We start from the raw sequence: 27450 nt of genomic DNA, 5'->3' as shown, positions 1-27450 counted from the left end.
GTTATGAAAGAAAACCATCTACCTTTGTTAAAGAATATGACAATTAAAATATTATAAAAATTATAATATATATTAAGGCATCATTCAAATATAATTCAAATATAATCATATTTGAATAGGTACATGTGCGAATATAAAGGTCCCTTTCTTCAGTTAAAATAAATTGAGAGAGCAATAAAATGTCTCTGTAACCAATGAGTTCTTTGCTGATTCAGGTACCAGCACTCTATGTACAAAAGCTTGCACCTCCATGAGAGGAGGGATTGCTTTTACAGGGCTCACTTCTGTATCCAGGACAACCAGCACATGGTAAGGTGCTCATAAACTATCTGTAGAATGAATACATTTTAGTATTAGTCATAGAACTATAAAATTAGGCTATGTAGTACAAATACGAAAACTCAGATACTTACTCCAACATCACGTTTATAAATTACATTTGCTCCTTCCAAAGCAATCTTCCTTAAGTTTAAATGACATCTTGTTCTAAAAACACAGACTACATTTGTAATTAGAATGTCCAATGCAACATCACTGTCTGCATCCATTGGGGTGGTTTTAAAATTTAGCTTTCCACCACGAAGATCACATCCTGAGAAATAAAACAAAATAAAGTCATTAAACTTAAATGTTGTTAATTCACTTTTCACAATTTTGAAATTGAAATGTAAAAAATGAATCTATATTATTTATTTTTCAAATGTTACTAGAATCAAATCATGTCCCTGGCCGGGCACAGTGGCTCATGTCTGTAATCCCAGCACTTTGGGAGGCCAAGGTGGTTGGATCATCTGAGGTCAGGAGTTCAAAACCAGACTGGCCAACATAGTGAAACCTGGTCTCTACTAAAAATACAAAAATTAGCCGGGCATGATGGTGCATGTCTGTAATCCCAGCTACTAGGGAGGCTGAGGTGGGAGAATCACTTGAACCTGGGAGGCGGAGGTTGCAGTGAGCCGAGATCGTACCACTGCATTCCAGCCTGTGAGACAGAGTGAGACTCTGTCAAAACAAACAAACCAAATCATGTCCTTTCTTTTCCCCACTAAAAATGTCATTTTTAAAAAAGCTAACATGACATCTAATATATTTCAAAATCTAGGCCTAACTTTCATTCCTTAAACTAAAAAGTAACTTTTACTTGACAGGAGCTTGCCAGACTTATCTCCTGCTATTCACCTCTACAAACACTACGTTCCAGGTGTACCACAGTAATGACAAATCCCCAAATGCACCACGTTCAAGGGTTGGACTCTGGTTCCAATGTCTAACCATTAGTGGCATATAACCCTTCTCATGCAACTTGCTGGTACTATAAAAAATATGACATACTTCTATTTCAAGCAGAGTAACTGACTTAAGTTTAAAGCAGCAAAAATATGAATAACATTTACTAACAGACTTTTCTCATTACTAACCATTCATTCATTATTTTCTTTCTGAACACCTATACACTGAAGATAATGGAGGGAAAAAAATGATTAAGGCAAAGTCTTTTGTCCTCAAGGAGTTTGCAAACTTGGGTGTACAGGAGGAGCTCTACCAAGTAATTTGCATAATACCATTTTTATCAAGATCAGAATCTTCCAACATGTATTTGCCGAGACTCCTATGATTTATACAAACAAACAAGCCCCAGTTTTTACTAAGTACGTGACTCATGACCCAGCTAAAAAATTCTCTCTTTGCATTTTCACACTTCAAAAAATAAACAATGGCAATTTGACTTAACTCACAAAAAGATCAGAAAATGATAAAAACATACTATAGTTGTTTTTAAAATTCCTTGCAGCCACAATGTAAAAAACTAGTATTCTTTATAATAAGGATTCAAATTATTATATAACTAAAACAGTGAAGGGGCCAAGAGTCTAAATAAAGAAGGTCTTGTTTCTCTGCCTTTAAGTTTCTGATAGAACACAGTGGCAAACCAGACCAAGACTTCTGACACCTCTATAAGACCATATGGCATTCAATTCTGTGTATCAATTGTACCTCAACTTCATTATATTTTTTCACTCTTGTATTCCCATATTCCCCTCAATCTGTGTATCTTTTTGTTTTTCTGTTATTTGTGCATGTTTGAGCTACCTCAAATAATTTTTACGTATGAGGAGTGAGGCAGGGGTGACAATAGGAACTGATGGATAGATATATAAGCAGACAGATTAAAAAGCAGAGGCACAGGGCCAGTTTATTACCATTGGTCTTAAGCACGTGCAATGTCTGACTCACCACTTAATAGCTATCAGAACTTGGGCAAGTTATGTAACCTGTGTCTCAGTGTTCTCATATTGTAACATGGAATAGACCATGCCTACCACACAGCAGTGTTGTGAAAATTATATAATGTATGAAAAGTACTTAGCATATATATCTAGGATATTGTAACAGTAAATGACAGTAATTATTGATGAAATAAGTTCAAATCAACAGGCAGAGGATTTCTTAGCACTACTTCCCATGATTACATTAGAGCCCAGTTACTGAGCCATCTGGACAGCAGCAGGTTTTCTGCTAGGCTCCTGGCTGCTTACCCCAACATCCATTCCACCTTGCCTTCATAATGATCAGAGCTCAGATGTTTAGCTGGGTACAATGTGGCAGAAATAAAATACTATAGATGTCAGCCTCCCTGGCAACAACTGGTATAGCCAACTGGCCACCTGAATATGTTCTGGTCAATGAGACATAAAATAAAATGGTTATGTATCCTCTGGGAAGTCTACTTAGAGCAACCAACTAAGCCAGCAAGGGCTCCTTTGCCTTTCTGCCCTTTTTCATTCTTGCTGTCTAGAGGTTGGATATGAGAGCTAGAGCTCAAGTAGCCAATTTTGCACCACGAGACAATGAGGATGAGGATGGTAGAACAACAAGATAGAAGCAGCCTGGCCCCTGACGCTGTGAATCTCCTTATTATCCCTGTTCTTCTTAATTCTAGACCTCATGAGTATGAGAGAAAAATCAGTTTCCCTCATGTTGGATTTCTGTGATATACAGCCAAACCTAATCCTAACTGTTGCACATCCCTTGAGGATAAGCTACCACAAGGCAACTACTGAAGAAGAAACTTCATGCGAATCAACTATCAAATTTACTATTTTACTTGTTTTTATATCAAACAGGAGAAAACAAATTGACTCAGATTTACTACTTTGAGTTCTACTCTACTCTGAATTTACTACTTTGAGTTCTGCCTGAGGGGACAACACTAAGGACAATATAAGTAAAACTAAGTCAAGAAAAAAAGGGGTAAAGAAAATCTGTGTGAATGCAAAAAAGAAGCCTTGAAATTCAAAATTGGTGATTTTTCATCATTTCAGCAACTTAAATTTTAAAAATAAGGTCATGGGAATAGTTCATAAGTTACTAAGTATTCATATTTTTATAATATGAGTAACCTGAAAAGCAGGCTCAGAAAAGATTGCTTTAATAAGAAGTTTTCAATTAAAGATGCAATATAAAAAGTCAGTACTTTTTTAAAAGAGGCAACCTACATAAAAGATCACATTTTTCGAAGCATGAAAAAAGGTCCACTTGCAATCAGTTCATCTGTCTTGTAGAACGAGAGCACAGAACTGGATATTAACAAAGATTTACTTTCTAAAGCTAAACATATTATATCCCTTTTCAATAGGATAATTAGAATGACAGTCCAACGAAACAGACAAATCTCAATTTCTTTTTTTTCTTTTTTTTTTTTTTTGAGACCAAGTCTCGCTTTGTTGCCCAGGCTGGAGGGCTGTGACGCGATCTTGGCTCACGGCAACCTCCGCCTCCTGGATTCAAGCAATTCTCTGCTTCAGCCTCAGGCACCCACCACCATGCTCAGCTAATTTTTGTATTTTTAGTAGAGACAGGGTTTCACCATCTTGGCCAGGTTGCTCTTGAACTCTTGACTTCGTGAGCCACTGCCTCGGCCTCCCAAAGTGCTGGGATTACAGGTGTGGGCCACCGCGCCAGGCCGACAAATAGCTCAGTTTCTACAAAGCATCTGATTGCCTAACATGTCCCTTGTATTTTTAAGTGTAGTGACATAATTTATCGATGGGTTAAACAGGTCTAACTAAATATTAGTAGTTCAAAGGCTTAGGTTATTCTTGAAAACACAGACTCACCACTTTGTTTAAATTAAAACAAGAAAAACAATAAAACAGCTAAAGGAAAGATGGAAACTAATTCCCAGAAGGGAACAAATATTCCAAGTTGTTTATGACTATGATGGTACCTACAGTTAAACACCAGAATCACCTATTTCCCCTACTAAATTCTAAGCTTCTTGAGGTGAAAGACTCTTTTATAGGTCTATATATTCCCATGACTCAACATCGTATCTGAAACATTGTAAATGTTCAATTATTTGGTGTATGAACGCTATGAAATCGAACATTTCAAACTCTTAACTATATTAAATTTCTCATCTACCTAGAATTCCAAATTATTTCGTTTAATTCTAAGCATGAAAAAAAAACTGTTAGCAAGGCTGAAACTATTTCCAAAGCCACCTATTTTCACTGAATGCAAAAGAGTTAACGATCTTTTTTTCCTACAAGCCCTTTGACACAACATTCATGAAAATGCATATACAGTACATTTCATTATATTTCATGGTGGTTTATACATGATTTTTTTAACTGGTTGTATAGATTCCAAGGGGAATGTGTTTAAGCAACTCCACCAAAAATACAGCATTTGAAAGTGACATTTAAACTCACAAGGCTATTAAGCCTGCTAATCATGGCACTACCATATATTTAAGATATACAAAAAGGCAAAAAGAACACAATGAACATCTACGTACCTATCATTCAGCTTAAAAAATAAACATTACAATACAACTGATGCCTCCCCATGCTGTTCTTCCAAATCACATCCTCCTCACCTTTCCCTCCAGAGAAAGCCTCTACTTTCAATTGCAGTCTTATCATTCTCATATATTTCTCTTAAACTTGTTATACACAGTGTTATATTCCTAAATCCAATTAATTCTTGATTTTTAAAAGATTATTGATGAATCTGGTTTGCTAATACTTCATTTAGTTATTGGGTAGAATTAGCCTATACTCTTCCTTTCTTGTATTGTCCTTATCTGGTTTGAGCATCAAGATTATACTAGACTCATTAGACAATTTAAGGTGGCTTATTTCTTTTTTCTTTTTTAATTCTCAGGAAGACAGGTTAGAAGACGTTACCTGAAGATTATCTGGAACTGTTTCTTGTTTGATAAATTTTTAAGACAATTTCTAATTTTTAAATTAGATTGAATTTAAACTTTTAAATTCAATTTCTTTAAGAGTTTTAAAATAATTCATGTCTCTGTTTTCTTCAAGTCTATTTTGCTTAATTAAATTTTCCATTTCTTCTAAATTTTAAAATTTACTGGGCATACAATTCTTCATGGTTGTCTTAATAATCTTTTAAAGTCTCTGTTGTAGCCTACTTACCCTTTTTTCACTGTAGTATCATTTATTCCTGCTTTTTATTGCTCTCGTCAATCTTGCTTTTTTTCCACTTTGGTTTCTTCTCAGAACAAACTATCAGTAGCTGATCCTCTCTAGTGAATTTTTTGCCCATGTCCATTGTTTCCTTCCTTCCACAGATTTAATATATTCTTTTTCTAATTTCTTAAATGAAAGTATTTAAGTTGAATACTTAATACTTTAGTTTTTAACTGTCTTTTCTTGTATAAACATTTAAGACAATTATAACCCAGTGTCTTAGGTGTGACTGAAGTTGGATATGTGTTTTCATTATCCCTTAATTCTAATGATATTAAAATTCATTTTTTCTTAGACTAATCATTTATTTAGCAGTTCTTTGCATTTACTAGTAATTGAGGAAATGCTAACTTAAAAGAATAAGATGACACTTACTTATATTGGCAAATATCAAACGATGTTGAAAGTGTGAGTAAATCTGTGTTCTCTTACAGTCTGGTACAAAAACTTTCTATAGGAGATACTCTGGCTGTGTGTATTCAGATAATTTAAAATGTAAATATATGTGGAACTATAGTCAACCAGTAACAATAAGAAATAACTGAACTCGTCTGGGCACGGTGGCTTACGCCTATAATCCCAGCACTTTGGGAGGGCAAGGTGAGTGGATCACGAGGTCAGGAGTTTGAGACCAGCCTGACCAACACGGTGAAACCCCGTCTAAAAATACAAAAATCAGCCGGGCGTGGTGGTGCACGCCTGTAATCCCAGCTACTCAGGAGGCTGAGGAAGGAGAATTGCTTGAACCCAGGAGGCGGAGGTTGCAGTGAGCTGAGATCGCGCCACTGCACTCCAACCTGGGTGACAGAGCAAGACTCCATCTCAAAAAAGAAATAACTGAACTGACCAAAGTATAATAAGATGATATATGGCAATTTTATTTATAACAGAAACAACCTGCACATCCAATGAAAAGGAACTAGTTAAATACAGTACAGTCTTATATAATAGACTACTAAATGGAGTTTATAAATTATAAAGCTAGACAGATGTAGAGATGTAGACAGAGGTCCATAATGTTTGCCAGAGTAGAAAAAATTATATGTCTAATTATGAGTTCATTTTGGCTTATGTATCTACATATGCACTTACATAGTTATATCTGCCAAAATGTTAACAACTGTTCTATTCAGAGAATTGGCACAGCAGGGTGACTTTTTTTTTTTTTTTTGGTAAAGTCTGGATGCTTTAAAATAAAAAAACAAATATATATATATATGTTAGGTTTAATATAAGAAAAATAGTTGTTCCCATTCTGATTTAAATACAAATACCAATTATTTGCCCACTGCCCAAGGCCTAATATTAAGACATAGCTTGATCAGGTGTTTTGTCCTGTTTCTCAAGGAAATGGCTTAGTGTGATTTGTCAAATATCTTCTCATAAAAAAAGCAAACTTCAAAACTGTAGCCCTTCAGGAAGTGGCATATTTCTAGCTTTCTATTAAAATACATCATAGAAGTTAAAGCACATTCTTCCTCACTCAAAGATTTTGTGTACAAGAACACATCATCTGTATTTTTGGTCCTCTTTCTAGTGGTATTCAAAAACATTACTCCAGCAACTACAATGAATTGAAACCTTAAATGGAAAACATCGCCACCTTCTGGCTTTTACGACAAATTGCATCAAAGACTACTGCATTTAAAATTTTCCACACCAGGAAAGATATTTAAACTGAAAGGCCACAATAAACCCTGTCATAAAAACGAAGCAAAAATAAATCTAAAATCTAATTGAAAGCCAAGAGAATAAATAAACCTGAGAATACAGAAAAGAAGAATCTAGCTACTTAAAGTATACTCAAGTTGAAGCTGAGGATACAGGGGAATGGGCCCTAAGGTTCTAACCACAAAATTACCATCTATGATCTAAGAAATGGCAGAAGCAGGGGAGGACTGATAATAGACCGATTTGCAAACACAATAGGAACCCACATGGTCTCCTAGAGATAGCTCTTTTCTAAAAGAAAGACAGGCCATTCAAAGTAACCTCACATCCTTTATAAAGCTCCCCAAATAGTAGATTAGGAAATAGACATTTTGTGTCCCAATCCCAACACATTACTTGACAGTCTCTCAACACATGCCTAGAATCAGGATGAAGAAAAGCTAACATTTGCCTTTTAGAACGATGTTCTTTCGTATCTGTTTGATAGTATAAAATAAGCCTTATAAAAGGGGGCTCTGACCTAGTGTTCCCATTTAGCTATGTGACACTGGGCCACTTACCTAACCGCTCTCTAAATCCTCATTTTCTCATCTATAAATTGGTGATAATACCACCTGTACCTCACAGGGTGCTTTTAAGGATTAAATATTATTATCCATGCCAAGTATATAGCATACAGTATGTGTTCATTAAATGGTGGCTATTACTGACAGATGGATTCACCAATAGTTGAATATTAATTGTATTATTTAATGAATTGATGCAAAACTTGAGAACAGTTACAGATGAGGGGAAAAAAACAAACAAACAAACAAACAAACAAACACCAAGATCATAATAGGTTAGGCAAGGGTCAGCACACTACAGCCAATGGGCCAGTGCCTGTTTTGCAAAAGTTTTATTGGAACACAGCCATGCCCGTGTGTTTCCATAATGACTACGCAGCACAACTGAGTAGTTGTGACAAGAACCAAATGAACCACAAGCCTAAAATATTTACTCTCTGGCCCTTTAAGAAAAAGTTTGCTGATTACTGGACAAGCCCAAAGAGGCACTACCAACAAAATAAAATTTATCACTGATAAATGTAAGGCCCTTATTTTTAATTAAAATGACAAAATGTCTGTATAACATGGTCCTTGATTAGATCCCGGTTTTAACAAATCAGTATAAAAGATATTTGAGAGAAATTTGAGTGATTTGAGTGGATCTGAATAGATCTGAGTGACATGAAATTATGAAATTACTGTTAATTTTGTTAGAAGAGAAAATAGAGTGGTTATGTAGACAGACTTTTTTTAGAGATGTAGACTCAAATACTTGGGGGAATGTCTTGTCTGCAATTTAACTTTAAAATCTTTCACTGTTTGAACTCAGTAACAAATACATTGAGATACAATTTCAGATGACTCTTGATGTCTGGAATCTTGCCACCAAACAAATTTGGATAATCTATTCTAAGATAAAGCACAGACTTGTATAGTAGTTATCACAGTATTTTAGCACCAAAAAATGCTGTATTACTGCTTTACCTTTTAACGATTATTAGATCAAGATGACAGAGATTACATCCAACTAAAAAGCTTTTGCACAGCCCAGGAAACTATTAACAGGGTGAAAAGCCAACCCACAGAACAGGAGAAAATATGTGCAAATTATATATCTGATAAGAGATTAATATCCAGAATATATATATGAAATTCAACCAACTCAGCAAAAGAAATAATCTGATTAAAAAATAAGCAAAACACCTTAACAGACACTTCTCAAAAGAAGACATACCAATGGCCAACAGGTATATGAAAAAATGTTCAACATCACGTATCATAAGGAAAATGCAAATCAAAACCACAATGAGATACCACCTCACTCCAGGTAGAATGGCTATTATAAAAAAACAAACAACAACAACAACAACAACAACACCTATGTATTGGTGAGGATGTGAAGGAAAGGGAATACTTTACACACTGTTGGTAGGATAGTAAACTCACATAGCCATTATAGAAAACAGTATAGAAGTTCCTCAAAAAATTAAAAATAGAACTACCACATGATCCAGCAATCCCACTGCTGAATACATATCCAAAGAAAATGAAATCAGGATGTTGAAGAGATTTCTATACTTCGCTATTTACTGCAGCACTATTTATAATAGCCAAGATATGGAATCAATCTAAGTGTCCAACAGTGGAAGAATGGATAAAGAAAATGTGAATATTATTCAGCTGTAAGAAATCTTGTCATTTGTGACGTTAGTGAACCTGGAGGACATCATGTTAAATAAACCAAGCCAGACACAGAAAGACAAATTCCTCATGATCTCACTTGTATGTGGAATCTTAAAAAAAAAAAAAAGTGTTATCATCGAAGCAGAAAGAAGAGCGATTAACAGAGACTGAGGAGAAGAGGATGAGAATGAACGGAGGTTGGTCAATTGATTTAAAATTACAATTGGATTGGAGGAATAAGTTATGGTGTTCTGTTGCACAGTAGGGTGACCATGGTGAACAGTAAAGTATATCATAAAATAGCTAGAAGAGAGGCTTTTGACTGTTCTTACCACAAAGAAATGATAAATTCATGAGGTGACAGATGCCCTACCCTGATTTGATCACTATACAACAAATCTGTACCTCATAAATATGTATAATATGTACAATCATGTGTCAATTAAAAAATAAAAAACCAGCCTGGGCAACACAGATAGACTCAATTTCTACAACAAATTTTAAAATTAGCCAGGTATGGTGGTGCATGCCTGTGGTTCCAGCTACTTGGGAGGCTGAGGTGCACTGAACCTGGGAGGTTGAGGCTGCAATGAGCTATCATGGCACCACGGCATTCCAGCCTGGGTGACAGAGTGAGACCCTGTCTCAAAAAAAAAAAAGCAAAAACAAAACAAAAACAAACCTTGGTGACAGATATATGAGTGTTCATTATGCTACTCTCTCCACATTTCTGCCTAAAAGTTTCCATAATAATTTCTAACAGCTGTTTAAGATTAGGACTTTATTTAATAATAGGTTATATTAAGACAACATGGGGTTCAAAATGTACTGTATTACTTAAACAAACACATATACACATAAACTTAGGTTAGATAAGAATGTCCAGACCAAAGAGAGTAATAGCCTTTGCTATTGAAATATCTACAGTATCCAGAATTTATCAAATTATTATTTAAAGATACTAAAGATATTATTTCCAAATATCCAAAGCAAAGTACGATGGTGTGAGATATAAAAACAGTGAGCTGTGTGAAGAAAATCTTAGGACATTTAGCATAAGAATGGAAAAAGAGTAGTTGTTCTCAACTGAATAAAAAAGAAAATTGACAGAGTCAATTGAGGTCACATGAAAGATCTCATGAAGCCACACAAAAAACCAGATACTTAACACTGCAAAGTGGTGGGCTCCCCAGAAGATTCGTGTCCAAAAAGGGAAGGCAGAGCTAGATAATTAACCAACAGTTAGGAGTGGCACAAAACAAGTCTTCTATTAGGTGAAAGATGAGACTAGACTGATGGTTTTTAAGATTCCCATCTAATTCTAAAATCCCAGGAGCCTAACATATTAGATGAAGATACATTCTAGACAAATGTAGGAATTATACAGTAAATTTCCATTTTAATTCTAGAATTATTCTGTTAGTTTAGATAAATTATCATCAATTCTGAACTCACCACTTCCCCTTCAGCATGCATTTGTGTTCAAAGGGGCAGTAATGGGAGAGAGTTAGATGCACTAAGGTCTAACAGTTGAAAACCTTGAACTTGTTTGGCAGGGTGACATTCTATCATGAGGACATTTTAGGAGTCAGTCCACAGGGTTGGCATTTTTATAGTCTAGCCACATGAAGAAAATTTTACCAAGTTTGCCTGGCCATAAAAAACCTTGAATCTTCCAAAGAAAAAGACTGTATATTTTACCACCCGTAAAACATTTAACAAATGCTTAAGTGAAAGCAAAAGTATTTGATGTACAAAAAGCATCATTACATTCAGTTAAACAGAAAGTTAAACTATCTTCATTACATATGACTACCTACTATCTATGAGACTCAATCTAGATATTCAGTCTGAAGACTGTTAAGCAGGTAGCATTCATGTGAATAATTTTGTATCAAAGTGAATTATGGTTAAAAAAATCTATATTAAGAAAGCTACAAGGTACTATTTTTTAATGGAAATTAGTCAACAACTCTGAGGTTGCCAGCATCTATTTACTAAAAAAAAAAAAAAAAAAAAAAAGTGTATTTTATGGTTCAGTCAATGACATTATTTGTAATGGTGTCTAAAAGGTGATGGGGAAAGATTTAAATGATACTGATTTTCTGAATGACTGCTTAAGAAAAGATAAGTTCAATGGTTTACATTCTCATGCAAAAATTCTGGTTGAAAAAATGAAATATTTTGCAATATAAGAAGATATAATTGAAAACCTGTCTCATCTTAATAATGTTTAAACAGTAACCTAGTTAAGATTCTCACTGTTTCGACGAATACTAAAATATATCTATAAAGTAAGAAAACTTGGATACTGACCAGGAGTGGTGCCTCACGCCTGTAATCTCAGCACTCTGGGAGGCCAAGATGGGTGGATCATTTGAGGTCAGGAGTTGGAGACCAGCCTGGTGAAACCTCGCTCCTACCAAAAATACAAAAATTAGCCAGGCATGGCAGTGGGCGCCTGTAGTCCCAGCTACTGCGGAGGCTGAGGCAAGAGAACTGCTTGAACCCAAGGGCAGAGGCTGCAGTGAGCAGAGATTGTGCCACTGCACTCCAGCGTGGGCGAGAGCGGACTCCATCTCAAAAGAAACAAAACAAAACAAAAAACTTGGATGCTAAGACAGTAGACATCAATTGTAATGGAAGCTACACGACAGTGGACTAGTTCTGAACTGCTCCTGTTCTCATTTGTAAAACACAATACCATTTACCTCTCATGATTGTTTTGAAGAATAAAAAAACTCACAAATTTTGATATGCTCTATTAAAGCAATGTATTAGTGAATGCTAACAATAATATTAACTAATATACTATTGTGGATAAAGGAAAAAAGTGTATTTTACTGACTACAACCTTACATTTGGAAATTCAAACGCAAAGATGAGAAATTTGGCATATGATTCCTTACTATATAAAAGCAAGTTTTATTTTGGATAGATTTCTTAATATTTCAGATAAACTGTCTAAGTATACAAGATTTAAGGAAGATAGCATGTCATTTTCTGATTATATAAGAAATACTCAAATAGTCACCTGGCCAGGTGGATCACGAGGTCAAGAGATCGAGATCATCCTGGCTAACATGGTGAAACCCCGTCCCTACTAAAAATACAAAAATTAGCTGGGCGTGGTGGCACGCGCCTGTAGTCCCAGCTACTTGGGGGAGGCTGAGGCAGATGCAGGCTGCAGTGAGCCGAGACTGCATCACCACATTCCAGCCTGGTGACAAAGCAAGACTCTGTCTCAAAAAAAAAAAAAAAAGAAAATAGTCACCCATAATCCTAACAGTGATAACTGCTTTTTTCCTGTGCTCATATAAGCACATGGTCCTAGGCTCTAAATCCATATATTTGTCTGTGCACATGAAACAAGATTGGGATCGCACATGCTGTCTTACCTAGTCAGCAAAGGATTTTATAAAAATCTTGGACAACCTGAGATATGAAAAGCAGCAATACTGAATTAATTGATTTTCCTTGAATACTAATGAGGGTGAACTTTTCAAACACAGTCATGTGCTGCCTAACAATGTTTTGGTCCAGGGGTCCATAATATTATAATACCGTAGTTCTACTACACCTTTCCTATGTTTAGATACCCAAATACTTATGATTATGTTACAACTGCCTACAGTACTCAGTAAAGAAACATGCTGTATAGGTTCACTGCCTACAAGCAATAGGCTATACTACATAGCCCAGGTGTGTAGTAGATTCTACCGTCTGGGTTTATATAATTATACTCTATGATGTTCACGTGATGACAAACTCACTTCTCAGGACACATCCTTGTCATTAAGCGATGCATGACTATATTACTAACCATTTGTATTTCTTTAAAGTTAGCTGCCTCCTATCTTCTGTTCATTTTCCTTCTAAGATTTCTTATTGATTTATGGAAGCTCTAATATATAAAGAATATTAACCTTTTGCCCGCTTAATCTAATTCATTCTGCTGAAAATGATTTATGCCCACTTCTACATGTGATCCACTCCCACTTGTTCTACAGCTGAGCATCACCTTCATTCAATCAATTCTATAACAATGAACTGGAAATCTAAGCATTAAGACCCATACTAGGGGATAGGGACCTGGTAGTGAACAGACTCGGTTCAGGAAACAGCAGATGTTCTCAGCTAAGAGTAGGAACTGCTCAGGCCTGAAGGAAGAATCAGCATGGCTACGGTGAGAAAAGTGAAAAGGAAAGTGGCATAAGACTAGGCTAGAAATGCAGGGAGGGGTCAAATCATGCCTTCTATGCCACGTTCAGAATTTTCATGTTTATCTCAAAAGTAGTGGTTAGCTAAAAAAGAAGCAAGAACTGACATCACGTATTTGCATTATAAAAATGTATCACCACCACTCTGCAATGGGAGGATGGACTGAAAGAGAAGAATGGGTAGCACAGCAGTCCAGGCAAGATGACAGGACGGACCACAGTGGTAGTACTGTGGTTTGAAAATGCAAAGTAGTAGACACAAGACAGGCAGTTTTAAGAGATAGAGTGAACAGAATTTTCTGATTGATATGGGGATGGAAAAAAGGGAGATGGAGAATGACTGCAGGTTTGTGGCCTAAGATACTATTTACTAAGATAGGAAACACTGGAGAAAGGGCAGGTTTGCAGGGCAGATGAGAAAGGTAGGAGGGGTTAACAATTCGGTTTTGGACATTTTGAACTGAAGGAACTTGTGAGACATCCAAGAGGAGATACGGAGCAGTTAATCAGCTAAAAGTCCATTGCTCAGGACAGGTCTAGGTTAAGACTGGAAATGAAAATTTGGAAATCCTAGTACAGAAGGTAATTAAAACCATCATGGGTGAAATTTAAAAATCAAAGGAACTCAGAAATCTGATCCTCAATATTAAGCCAGAGTGTCCCTATTCTGAGTCCCATTTGGTCAATGGTAATGTTACTATACATACTTATATCACAGTTTTCCACACTACAAACTATGGTAAAATGTTTCCTATTTATAGTCTCCTTGGTAGACAATAAGCTCCTCAGAAGCATGATCAAATCTTCTTTATTTCTGTACCCCAGCCTTGGCGTAGTTCCCAATGCGCCATACACATTCAATAAAATGTCTGCAGAGTTTAACTGTAAGCTTGAGGTTATTAAAAAGCAATGTTTACTTACACACCCACACGACACACACACACATGCACACACACTCTCTCTCTGTTTCTTTCTGTCTCTCTCTGTCTCTGAAGTTGAAGAGCTCAGCAGAATGCTTGGGTTAAATCTAGACTCTACCACTTATTAGCCATATGACTGTGGGTAAGTTAACACCTTTGTGCCTCAATATCCTCCTCTGTAAAATAAGGCAGATAAACAGAACCCATCATAGTGTTGTGAAAATTAAATTTCATATAAAGCGCTTGGCACAGTACTTGCACATGACAAGCATTCAAATGTAGCTGTTCTTATTGTTACTATTATTATATCTCCTTTCTTCATATGGATGGAGAAATGTTCAAAAATGGAAAGGATTTCTAGTTACTCACTGTAGTCCTCAAGCTTTGGAACACAAAAGCAAATCATATTCCTTCAAGTTTAAAAGTAAGTGGTAAAAATAAAGAATACAACTTTGATGTATCTGTTAAGTGAAATGAGTACTGAAAAAAGCACTAAATTTAACAGTGAATTAAAAAAAAAAACCCACAAAACTCCAACAATAACAAAACCATCAAATCAAAGCAAATAGTTGTTGATCATGGGGTTCTTTTTTGGTGGTGCTGAGGGGAGTGGGGACAGGGAAGGTGGCAAATGAAACAGGAAAAGACTGACCAAATCTACTACATGTTACGAAATAGGTATTATGCTAGATTTTACTTCATTAGGTACCTGCAAAAAAGCAGGAAAATTAGAAGCATAATGGGTTTGGATATTAAATTGTGATACAAGTTTATGATGTTCATTTCATTTAAATTGTAAGGTATTTGTTTTCTTGAGCAGGTCTTATATGTGCCCCTACTTCCCATATTACGGACTATAATTTTAAAAGCTAAAAAGTTTCATCTCTTTACTGAGAAGTTTGATATTTGTCCTAAGCTACTGTAAGTGACTATAATTTGTAAGACTAATTTAGCCATTAAATTAATGCTAACAAAACAGCATAATTTTTAAAAGATTATTAGTTTCATTTACAAGTGTAAATGTTAATTCACTAGGGTAGCTAAAAGACTGAATAAATCTTCTCATAAGTTGGTGTCAGAATTGGCATGCATCAAGATCAAGCCTCTCTATATTCTGATTTATTTCAAGGGTGTGAATGCAGGGCTCAAACTTGAAGCACTGATAACTCATCAAGAATTTAATCAAGAGAAAGTACTGCATGGGGAAAATACAACGGGTGAAACTTCCTATTTTCATAGTTTCGACTGTTTTTATAGAGTTACCCCTCATATAAAATGCTCTAGCATAGACAACCTGTTTAAGGTCTATGTCATGCACAAATGCCATTTTAAGAAAAGGAAGGTCAGATTATGAAATTAGTTACTTGGGAAAATAAAACAGAGTTCGGCCGGGCATGGTGGCTCACACCTGTAATCCCAGCACTTTGGGAAGCTGAGGCGGGTGGATCACGAGGTCAGGAGATCGAGACCATCCTGGCTAACACGGTAAAACCCCATCTCTACTAAAAATACAAAAATTAGCCTGGAGTGGTGGCAGGCACCTGTAGTCCCAGCTACTCGGAGGCTGAGGCAGGAGAATGGCGTGAACCCGGGAGACGGAGCTTGCAGTGAGCCAAGATGGTGCCACTGCACTCCAGCCTGGGAGACAGAGTGAGACTCCATCTCAAAAAAAAAAAAACCCAAAAAACCCAAAAAAACAAAACAAAACAAAAAAAACAAACAGTTCAAACATTTCTGGTTTAAAAAACAGTACAAAATATACTTAAAACAAACATGATTACATAATGAACACTCTTTCCACATGTAAGCACCATTAGGAATTTCTTATTTTACTCAGAGCTTGTCAGATCTGAGTAACTGGTTGAAGGGTGCGTCACTCAAAAAGGATAAACACAGAGAACTTGGCTAGAGATCAGAAGAAAGCCATACATTTTTAAAACCTGAAATTATGGTCTGTGAGAAAGTCAAGAACACTACCACAACAGTAGGGTGAGTAATTTAATGATAATATACAAGTAAAAGAATGGGTTCTTACACAGAACACACAAGAGTGATAAGGAAGTTTTCTGATTGGAACATTGGTTCTTTTTTTTGAGACGCAGTCTTGCTCTGTCGCCCAGGCTGGAGTGCAGTGTCACGATCTCGGCTCATTGCAACCTCCGCCTCCCAGGTTCCCACCATTCTCCCGCCTCAGCCTCCCGAGTAGCTGCGACTACAGGCGCCCGCCACCACGCCTGGCTAATTTTTTTTTTTTTTTTTGTATTTTTAGTAGAGACGGCGTTTCACCACGTTAGCCAGGATGGTCTCGATCTCCTGACCTTGTGATCCGCCCGCCTCAGCCTCCCAAAGTGCTGGGATTACAGGCGTGAGCCACCGCGCCAGGCCGGTTCTTAACGATCAAGAAAAAGACAAGGACAGGCCTGGTGGACTCATGCCTGTAATCCCAGCACTTTGGGAGGCCAAGGTGGGCAGGTTGCTTGAGCCAGGAGTTACAGACCAGACTGAGCAACATGGTGAGACTCTGTCTCGACAAAAAAATACAAAAATTAGCCAGATGTGGTGGTGTGTGCCTATAGGCCCAGCTACTCAGGAGGCTGAGGCAAGAGGATTGAGCCTGGGAGGTCAAGGCTGCAGTGAGTTATGATCACACCACTGCACTCCAGTCTGGGCTATAGAGTGAGACTATGTCTTAAACAAATAAAAAGACCAAAAGACAAAACAACAGAAACAAGATAATAACTATGAAGATGCTCAAATCCCACAAATACAGATTTAATTGACCTTGATAGGGCCCTAATTTTGAAAATATTTCCAAGATGTTTCTAATGGGTAGTCAGTTGAGAACGACTGGGTTGAAACACCATCATAGGGTAATTAAAATAATGGAATTTCCCTCTCCATAAATCCTTAAAAAGGGCTCTATTCTTCTATCAGTACTGTTTTTCAGAGAACATCAAGACTTCTACATTCTGTTTACCATCCCTTGTTTCCCAAACTCCACTTCATGCTTTTAAACCAGCATAATCTGTCTTCTGCCTCTACACAGTACAAAATGTTACAAATGAATGGCTCATTGCTGAATTCAATGGCACACTTTAAACTCCCTCCTACTCTAGAGCATAAAGCACTGGGAACTTCTGATTCTCCAACTGCTCCCTTGCCATGTCCTATCCCTGGATTCTGAAGAAGCTTTCTTGAATTCTCTCCCCATCTCATATACTTCTCTGTCTGTTCCTTAAATCAGAAGTTCTTAACTGAAATCCATGCCAGACCCTGAAAAGCTCAACAATAGGTTCCACAGGTTAGGAACCCCCTGAAATTGTATACACACTAATCTGTACCTGAGAAGGCCATTGTTTTTTTCATATTACCAATAGGTTTAAGATCCCTAAAGGTTATAAACCACTGCCTGAAATCCTTTTCCTCTTTAAACTTTTCAGGCCTCAGTTGCTATCTATGAGCTTATGGCTGGCTCCTACATCTATCCTGACCTATCAGATATCTGAATCCATATTCCCAATCATCTATTAGGCATATCTATTAAAATCGACACATACAAACAAAACTCATTAAGCACCTCAAGAAATCTTGCTCTATCTCCTTGTAATTCTGTGAATGGAGTGAGTCACAATTAACACTCGCTCACTTCAACCAGAAATTTCAGAATCATCCTTCATCTCTCATTCTTCTCCTCTGCTCAGTTAACTTTTAATCTAGCTTCTTTTCTGCATCCAAAGCAACGTTTTATTTTAGGCCAGCTCACATGTCATTATGGCTACAGGCTTCTAATAGAACTCTCTGCTTGCATTCTCCATGCTCTAATCCATCTACCAAATAGCTACCAGGATTATCTTCCTAATTGTCTCCCTATCTGAAGAAGCATCTCTTGGCTCTCTTAGAATGAAAAACAGAATCTCATCTGCTTGCCTTGGAATGCAGTGGACTTCCCACCCCCGATCTTCCTTATATAACCTAATCTTCCACTTCCAACACACCTTAACATTCTCAGCTTTACACCATTCCTCTTCCAATAACAGACTGTTTCGCGGTTTTATAGCTGCCTAAATCGTCCTTTCCCCACTCCTTCAACTAGGAAACTTTTACGCATAATTGCATATTTAGTATGCAACTCATGTGAACCAAGCTCTGCGGGTAGACACTGGGAATACAGCTCAGAACAAAATGGTCAGGCAAGCAACTCTCATGGCAGTTGTATTTCAGTGGAAGAAAAAGACAACAAATAGGCTGACAAAATAATCAAGAGAATGTGATCTATGTTATAAAGGAAACGAGATAATGAAAGAGAAACTTCAGGAGCAATGATCCAGGGAAGGTCTTTCAACTTTCTTAAGAGGTAAGAAATAATTCTTGGCCAAGTGCGGTGGGTCACACCTGTAATCCCAGCACTTTGGGAGGCCAAGGCGCATGGATCACGAGGTCAGGGATTCAAGACCAGCCCGATTAACATGGTGAAACCCCATCTCTACTAAATACAAAAACTAGTCGGGCATGGTGATGTGCACCTGTAATCCCAGCTACCCAGGAGGCTGAGGCAGAAGAATGCTTGAACTCGGGAGGCGGAGGTTGCAATGAGCCGAGATTGCACCACTGCACTCTAGCATGGGTGACAGAGCACGACTCCGTCTCAAAAAAAAAAAAAAAAAAAAAGAAAGAAAGAATCTTAAAAAGAGATCTTAAAGGATAAGAAGTAGCCAGCCATATGAAACACTGGGAGAAGAGCAACCCGGCAGAGGGCACAGCAAATGAATGGTACTGTTGGTGTTATAAGTGTCTACTGAACTGCAGACACCAAGCTCCTTGAAGATAACTGTTTAATTTAAATGTGTGTCTTTAGAACTTGGCTGAATTGCTGGCATTTGGTCCTAAACTCAATAAAAAGTTGATGAATTAAATGAATACCTTAAGAACAACTGAGAAAATGGTTTGTGGGGTTGGGGGCAGGTAAGTGTAAACAGTAGATATCTTTCACGATAGCAATAAGAATCTGAGTAGCCTCAACTGACTCAAGTTCTCCAACAGTATCCAACTCTTCCCTTACTTCACTTTCTGGTATATTATACTACTTAGTGCTCCTACACCTAACAAGTTACTAATGGTTTTAGGTCAGACCCCCAAATCCTGAAGAGCAACTGTGTTCCAGGAGCTTTTACAAATACAAAAATATATTTCTGATGTAAGAAAAGAATTATTTTAATTAAAACACACCTACTGACCTTCAGCATTTTTTATATTCCCTTTTCTCATCCTCTGAAAGTTACTGTCTCCTTTTCTTCATCCCCAAGGGTTCTAACTCACCCATGTTCTATAGCCTACAGCTAATTCCACTATAGCCGGTCATCAGAGAATGGCCACCCTGTCAGTCACTTCCAAGATATCAACCATTCAGTTAAAGTTAAACAGGGTGTGATGATGAAGCCATTTTTCCTCTATACCCAAAGAGACAGCAAAAATATATAACCAAGACAAACAAATTCAGAATATTGTTTCAGGCATTTGAAACTCTTCTAATTTTAATAGGCCAAAACCAAAAGCCTAGAAAGAGTAAATCAAGAGGCATGCATTCTAAATGTACAGACAAATTAAATAATTATCCAAGTTGTTTTGTACTGCGCACTGAAGTGGAAGTTTCAAGATTACTGGCCACAGCCAAGGAGTAGTGTTGAATTTCTTAAAATTAAAAAAAAAAAAAAAAAAGGCTGGTCAGCCAAAGGCTTTCTCTGCTATACTGAGACCTACAGATTTCCATTAGCAATATAGCTTTTTAATCTGTTGAGCCACTCAGCATCCCTTACTGAGGGCCTCCCCCCTCAGTACAAAAGAAGAGTAAAGAACAGAGTACCTTTAAGATTAGCACACTAATTTCTGTTGAGGAAGGTCTAATGAATTAGTCATTGTGCCTTCAATATGGTTGTCTGTGATCCCTGCAACCACCCTAATCTGTAACGAGCAAAGATCCTGGAAGGAGGTCAACCCACAAGCAATTAAGGTATGCTCATTACAACTTTCCTAGGTTGTACATGTACACAAGTCACTGGAAATGCCCAAGGAACACACTGCAGCCATAAGTAGGTGAGAGGAAAAACGCTTGCGGCTCACCAGAAGCATCTGACAAATTAAAAAGGATGGGGTGGTTCTTGTTCCACAAAAGCTTCAAGTTCATTAACTGAGTTTCAAACAGTAACAGGCCCTATAAATGTTGTCCACAGTCATAAATCAAATCTCCATCTTCATATTTGCACTTTTGGGTTACACATTGACTTTATTATGTTCATATCTGAAAGACAGCAACATCTGTCCCTGAAAAAGAGTGTGATAGAAAGAACACTAGGTGGCCAGGTGCAATGGCTCACGCCTGTAATTCCAACACTTTGGGAGGCTGAGGCAGAGGGACCACCTGAGGTCAGAAGTTCAAGACCAGCCTGGTCAATGTGGTAAAACCCCATCTCTACTAAAAATACAAAAAAATGGCCAGGTGTGGTGGTGGGTGCCTGTAATCCCAGTTACTCGGGAGGCTGAGGCAGGAGAATTGCTTGAACCCAGAAGATGGAGGTTGCAGTGAGCCGAGATCGCGCCACTGCACTCCAGCCTGGGCGACAGAGTGAGACTCCATCTCCAAAACAAAACAAAAAGAAAGAAAGAAAGAAAGAACACTAGAGAAAAATTAACAATGTGTTAGACAGAACTTTGTCTCAAAACAGGCAAGTTTTATTGTGGACTATAGTACTGATACCATGGCAACCTGTTTTCCTAAAAATTTCCTAACACAGGCCAGGCATGGTGGCTCGTGCCCATTGCCCATAATCCCAGCACTCCGGGAGGCTGAGACAGGCAGATCACTTGAGGTCAGAAGTTCGAGGCTAGCCTGGCCAACATGGGGAAACCCTGCATCTACTAAAAATATAAAAATTAGCTAGGCGTGGTGGCGCATGCCTGTAATCCCAACTACTTGGGTGTCTGAGGCACAAGAATCACTTGAACCTGGGAAGCCGAAGTTGCAATGAGCTGAGATGCCACCACCGCACTCCAGTCTGGGTGACAGAGTGAGACTCTGTCTCAAACAAAAAAAAAATTTCCCAGCACAGTCCTCAGGGTATCTAAAACTAAAGGAAATATATATCTCTATCTATTTGGTGCAACAGTCATGATCATTTCCTCTCTTAAACAGGAAAACAAAAGTCACACCTCTAAATACAAGCATATTTGCCAACCTCCTTAGTGTGTGGAAGCTTATAAAAACCAGCTGAAACAAATAAACAAAACCAGCACAACATGGAAGAAGGAATTATAACACTTTACCCTGCACATTTAAAGCAAAATATGCTTTTAATAATATATTTTATATAAACCTCTATAGTATATATTTTATAAAAATGGATTTCAACTAAAAACTAAGACCTGGTTATTAGCCAGAATAGGAAAGAACAGTCTGCAATTCACTTTGTTTAGGCAGAAACATTTATTTTTAGTCAGCAGTTTCCAATGTCCACACAACTAAACTAAAACATTTGGACTTAACTTTTTAAAGTTAGCTATTATTTCAGCAGCAGCCTAAACAAAACTATAATTATCAAATTATTTTCCTGATTAGGTAGCTTCAGTATTTGTTTTTAGCTTTACCATAAACAAATAATTTTGCTATCCTACGAAGTCATTCTTGAGCCACCTGAATTACTGGGGCAGAGCAGCAATTTTAGCTACTTCTAAAATTACAAAAAAAAGCTACTATTAGAACATTCATAGTGGCACAGAAAGCTCACAACACATGGCTTTACACTGATACTAACAAGCTTCAAGTTTACCATCAACTAAGGTTATACAAGTAAAAAATAGTGCCTTCTAACGAAAGCCTAATTCTGTTAAATGAAACCATTGGGGTTTATTCCTTTTATTCAGAAGTATCATACAGCTAAACAAGTCAAGTCCACAGGGAAATAGTATTTCAATAGCTGCAACATGGTGCCAGCCCAGGCTTTGTCGGCCTTCCTTTTCCAAGAAACAGAGATGTCTCTCTTTACTTAGTCCATCTGCCATCAGTGATAACCAGATGCCTGTGTGACAATTCAAAACTTAAAAAAAGTACTTCCCCCTCCTAAAGCCTAACAGCAGAGATGAGTCCAATAGTCAGTGAACAGAAAGAAAGAAAGAATTTCAATGCTCTAGTAGAAAGCCTCCCAACCAAAGAAACAAAGCATCCAAGTGGTCCAACAGTTCACCTTTAAAATAATATCCAGTGCCACTGCTACTAGCACCTGCTAATACTTTTTAAAGCTTTTAACTAAAGTTCTAAGTGCTTTATGCTAATTCTCACAGCAACCCTGTAACGTAGTAGTAGTATTAACTCCCTAGTACAGATGAGGAAACTGGGGCTCAGGGCAGTGAGAAAGCTATTTAATATTTAAGGCCATGCCATTAATTAAAAGCACAGCCATGATGCTGAACACAGGCTGCCTGCATCCAGAGTCCGTACTCTTTAAGTGTTGTACCAATCCCAATCTCAAGAAAACGTAACTGATTCTGATCAAAACTCTTCTGTCTCACAGTGAAAATACTTGTAATTTATCAGGAGCGGGAACGTTAACACCTGATTCTTTGGAACCATTTTATTAATGGAAACAAATTTTTTTACTGCTTTTAAGTAAGACTTAAGTTCTCACCTAGTGAGTTAAAAAACAAAAACATACCATGGGCCAATGTCTACACACAGATGTCTATCTTGTGCTAAGCACAATTCAATGCTGAAATCATCCACATATGTCCTAAGAAAACTCTGTCCTTAACACACCGTCTGGTTTTCAGTATTTTTTATTAATGGATGGTGAAAGTAACCAACAGCCAAACTTCTGTGCTGTACTTTTTGGTGAAATTTTAAACATTTTCATTATTGACTCCCACACAAAGGCACATCTCCACTACCCCAGAAATCACCCTATTGAGTTTTTTTTTAAAAACATTTAATGGGATCCATAGCATGCTTCAACCCACAAAACCAGCCATTTAAACCAAATTCTCTATTTTATCACCCTTTAGTCACAGACAAGTAGAATTTCTGATGTGACCTGATTCCTTTCCACTAAAGACATACTTCCAGAATCTTGCTTTTTCACAACTACACAAATACACAAACTCCATCTGTCTTCTAAAGAAAAGATTGACTGGTTAATAATACAAAAATCAAATTTGTCTATGTAGCCTGGAAAAACCTCAGATACGTATACAGTCTCTCATCCTTTTGAAATTTCCCAAAGTGGTAGTCATGTGACAAGAGCAAATATCGTGTCTACTCAAGTGAAGGCAGTCCACCATTATCTTTATTGTTTGAATTGGTTAGAAGCTGTAATCATGCTTGAGAAAGTGTCACTGCTTGTAATTTGCATGCCCACAGCCAGAATACAAAGTTGAAATTTTAGGCATCAAGAATCAGATTTCAAAAAGGTTTCCTTCATCCACTAGCTAAGCTCTTGAAGTGAAATAAACAAACATGTATCTCCTTCTATTAACAACGTAATCTTCAAAATACACACACAGGGCAGGGACATACAATATGATGATGGCTACTCATACTCCTGATCCTCAAGAAACTTCTAGTTTAGCAGGCATGATGAAGTCCATTCACCAATAGTGACAGTACCAGGCAGTATGTAATAAAGAATTTAAAATTCATATTTGTGTCTGTCATGTTTTATTACACACATGTCATTTCTCTGCTACCTACAAGTGCACAAAAAGCACCTGAAGGGAAATACCTCTCTCATCCAGCTTTGCACACCTGACACGGCACCAGACATACAGAAGGCACAACAAAATGGATTTAAGTTTCAGGGAATCTTTATTAGTTCGAATGTCACAATACAGCTAAAATTTGAAAACACCAGAGATTTTAACTCAGAGACAATGTGGAAACATTCTACTATAAATTCTTCTAAAAATCAACTGCAACGTTCATATTTTATAGCAATAATTTCATCACATGGTCTATGATGAAACAGAAGGAAATCAATCACCTAGGTTATTACTGGTATCCTTCATCTAAAAACAGTCCTCATGTTCACTCAACTAGATTATACAGTATTTTCTGATTTTTTTAAATAATGTGCCATGTCCATGAGAAGAAATAACTCTCTCCAAAAACATTCAGCTATATGTTTCATAAATATTTGTTCTACTTCATAGCAAATTCTGCATTTTATATGTGTTCATCCACACAAATGCTGATGTGACAATTTTCTATGTTAAGAATAACTTGGGGAAATTACTATAAGTAGTTCCCTCAAATTTGGCAGAATATAATTTCAGTCAAGATTGATTTTAAGAATAATTTTTTTAGAATAAGAATCATGAAAATCTAAGGTTCAATTTAAAACACAGAACAGGCTCTACAATACTTTTTTAAAAAGTGACCGTCTACAATTACAGTATTACCATTTGGACTTCTAACGTCTTTCATTCTGCTAAGTTCAAAAATTTTAATATACCTTATTTTAATAGAAGCTCTTGAGTTTCAGCAGAGGCTCTTAACCTGTTGTATTCACAACCAACAGTTACTCAGAATGAATACAGAACATCTAACATGACCACTCCAATTTTCCAAATAAAGAGGAGGGTACAGAAGGAAAATGCAACAGATAAAATCACATTAATGAAATGCACATGCAGGCGAAGGACACATGTTGAAAATGCTGTAAGAAACGGAAATGATACAGCATAAAAAATCATTTTTGATTGGGACATGATTAAGAAAAGACAGTAACTAAACTACCACCAAAGTTGGGAGTATTGGGGCGGAGGAGAGCAGGGAAAGCAGACACTGCATTGTTAATAAAGGTGGAAGCTAGGGCTTGACCCTCACTCAAACAATGAAGAGACAGACAACGGCAAACTAGATCTGGGTCAAGTGAGTCTGATGGCAGCCCTGAGGTTGAGGGACACTTCGTCAAGTCTCATATGCACAAAGATAACCCCAGGACTCAACATCCACAGCCTCAAGTATGGCTATCCCAGTATATCCTTCACAGAACTGCTACAAAGATTAAGCAACAGTCTTTGATTCATTAATCTATCTTTTTCTTCTTAATGTCTTAAAATGCAACTTAAGTTTCCCAATGTTCACACTTTGCATCCTGTCCACTTCTTTACACATGAATGAAATTCCTTTAACAGACACTGGACCTCAATTCCATATTAAAAGCTTAAGATGAAAACGCCTGAGTTGAAGCTATATTCTGGCTAGCCCTCATTCAGGAACAAGCCAGCCCAATCAAGGGCACATAGTAATAGGTCACTAGAGTTTCTGATACTGATTTTGAGGGCAGAGGGTACGTAAAGAGGAGGCTGGGGAAAGGATGACACCTTTTTGCTTAGGAGAAGTCAGGTTTAACAAAAGGGGTGGGGAACAAACAGAAGCTGTGGTTGACCTAATTGCTCCTATGATTTATCAATTTTATTTTCATCTTTAATCTTCAACTTTACATAAAGAACTTTGTATGTATATGTGGCCTTTTCATTGTGCTACAGGAAAACCTCATTTACTCACCCAAAATGATTTTGTAAAGTATAAAACCATTAAGCAGCTTGTGATGTAAGACTAAAGAGGTAACATAAACTGATATTTCACTGGGCATACCAAACTGTGAATAATCCTTTCAACCAGATAGTGCTAACAGTCACTTCTCAATAGGAAGGAACTGCCATTTTCTCAAAGAGACTGCGAAATTATGCCAGGATGGCTGAACCTTCTTATGTCTCTTTTTATATTTTCCCAGAGAATCCACATTGCTTACACACACACACGCAAACCTGCTCCCTTTTCTTAAGTCACAGTTTTAAGGCACTGTTCTAAACCCTAAATACAGAAGCTCATGCACTTACTGCCAGTGTCGCTTTGGAACTGCAGGTGACAGATGCAGTCAGAGAGCTCACAGATGTGGATTGACTGCAGTTTGAGTCTTATTGCAATGAGCACATTGACAGAGCCTGCAGATGCACATCTCGGCAGGAGAGATTTTCTTTTTAAGCCCTCATGCCCTATTAGATTTACTTTTAGGGCTTTTATTGGCTATTTTTATCACTTATCCCGACTCTCATCCCTGCTTAGCCCTACCCACAATTCATTTTCTCTTCTTCAGTTCTAGATCCTTCTCCATCAATCCTAATTTTGGTCAAAAATAATAATAAAATAAAGCGAGGCTGCCGGCATTGCCAGAATCAGAAACCGACGAAGCCGCTTTTTGGGAGCTATTAGAGAAGCCGCTGTAAGTTTTCTGAGAAGCAACGGACCCCTAGCATCTTTGCACGGTCCCTCTTCCCCTGGGTGATGGCTCCGAGACAGATGAGGAATCTCTTTTCCCCGTCTTTCCCAGTGGTGGCTTAAACGAAAGATAACCCTTCTTTTCTTATCCTACACCAGGCTCGGTAACGCTCCCAGGTACGGACGCCCCACCCCCAACCCGTTATCCCTAAAGAGATCCCCAAATATCGCCCGGTCCTCTTCAGAACTGAGCCCTCCCTCGGCCACCGGACCGGTTTCCCCCACCTCAGCGGCTGCCCTCCAGTCGCCCGCCCCCACACATCCCACCCCAAGTCTGGCCCGGGCTCCGCACATGCCCACCCCGCGCCCAGACGCCCCGCACCCGGTGCTCAGGCCGCTCAGCCGCCCGCGCTCCCTGTGCCCAGGGTCGCCTAGGGGGTTACCGTGGGAAGAGGGAGCGGTGGCTGAGGACGCGGCGGCAGCGCTGCTGCCGGTTGCGTCGGATGCGAAGGAGAAGCTGGAGGACAAGGATGAGGATGAGACGGGCGCGCTCCCCAGTCTCCATGGAACTCCCGCCCCGGCCCGTTGCTAGGAGCCCCCGAGGCTCGGACTCCGTCTTCCTTGCTTTGTTGTTCCGGGTGCGAG

The 27450-nt window shown here is 37.9% G+C and overlaps 2 protein-coding genes across 3 annotated transcripts in view, besides 3 other annotated features; both read right to left on the bottom strand.

The window, feature by feature from the left end:
* The window catches only part of TBPL1 (TATA-box binding protein like 1), a 38259-nt gene that overhangs the window by 9759 nt on the left and 1050 nt on the right, over positions 1 to 27450 (bottom strand). The window contains exons 1-2 of one of the 2 annotated variants that reach the window (NM_004865.4): positions 27249 to 27450; positions 414 to 592 (exon numbers count right to left, since the gene is read on the bottom strand). In NM_004865.4, the coding sequence (NP_004856.1) occupies positions 414 to 548 (135 nt within the window). In that variant the 5' untranslated portion in view covers positions 549 to 592; positions 27249 to 27450. The remainder of the gene's footprint in view (positions 1 to 413; positions 593 to 27248) is intronic. The other variant, NM_001253676.2, reaches the window with a different exon arrangement.
* LOC128092253 (umcharacterized LOC128092253) lies at positions 586 to 27370 on the bottom strand. The gene is made up of 2 exons (NM_001414965.1): positions 27249 to 27370; positions 586 to 592 (listed from the first exon to the last, which is right to left on the bottom strand). Exons 1-2 carry the CDS (start codon positions 27368 to 27370, stop codon positions 586 to 588), a joined length of 129 nt encoding a protein of 42 aa, NP_001401894.1.
* Positions 13599 to 13648: an enhancer, noted in NCBI's record as "active region_25081". NCBI's record gives its function as "activates an Ori minimal core promoter by ATAC-STARR-seq in GM12878 lymphoblastoid cells {active_cell/tissue: GM12878}" and the evidence as "EXISTENCE:reporter gene assay evidence [ECO:0000049][PMID:35858748]".
* Positions 15832 to 16001: an enhancer, noted in NCBI's record as "experimental_90028 CRE fragment used in MPRA reporter constructs". NCBI's record gives its function as "activates a minimal promoter by MPRAs in K562 erythroleukemia cells, with activity observed for both the introgressed and non-introgressed 6:134285896 variant alleles {active_cell/tissue: K562}" and the evidence as "EXISTENCE:reporter gene assay evidence [ECO:0000049][PMID:34662402]".
* Positions 17620 to 17789: an enhancer, noted in NCBI's record as "experimental_90026 CRE fragment used in MPRA reporter constructs". NCBI's record gives its function as "activates a minimal promoter by MPRAs in K562 erythroleukemia cells, with activity observed for the introgressed 6:134284108 variant allele {active_cell/tissue: K562}" and the evidence as "EXISTENCE:reporter gene assay evidence [ECO:0000049][PMID:34662402]".

Source organism: Homo sapiens, chromosome 6 (genome assembly GCF_000001405.40).
Source record: "Homo sapiens chromosome 6, GRCh38.p14 Primary Assembly".
Classification (NCBI taxonomy): Eukaryota; Metazoa; Chordata; class Mammalia; order Primates; family Hominidae; genus Homo; species Homo sapiens.
Note: the sequence above shows the minus strand (reverse complement) of the source record. Positions and strands in the feature narration are given on the sequence as shown.

Coding starts and splice junctions, on each gene's coding strand:
- LOC128092253 (NM_001414965.1), bottom strand. CDS start 27,370: ATGGAGACTGGGGAGCGCGCCCGTCTCATCCTCATCCTTGTCCTCCAG.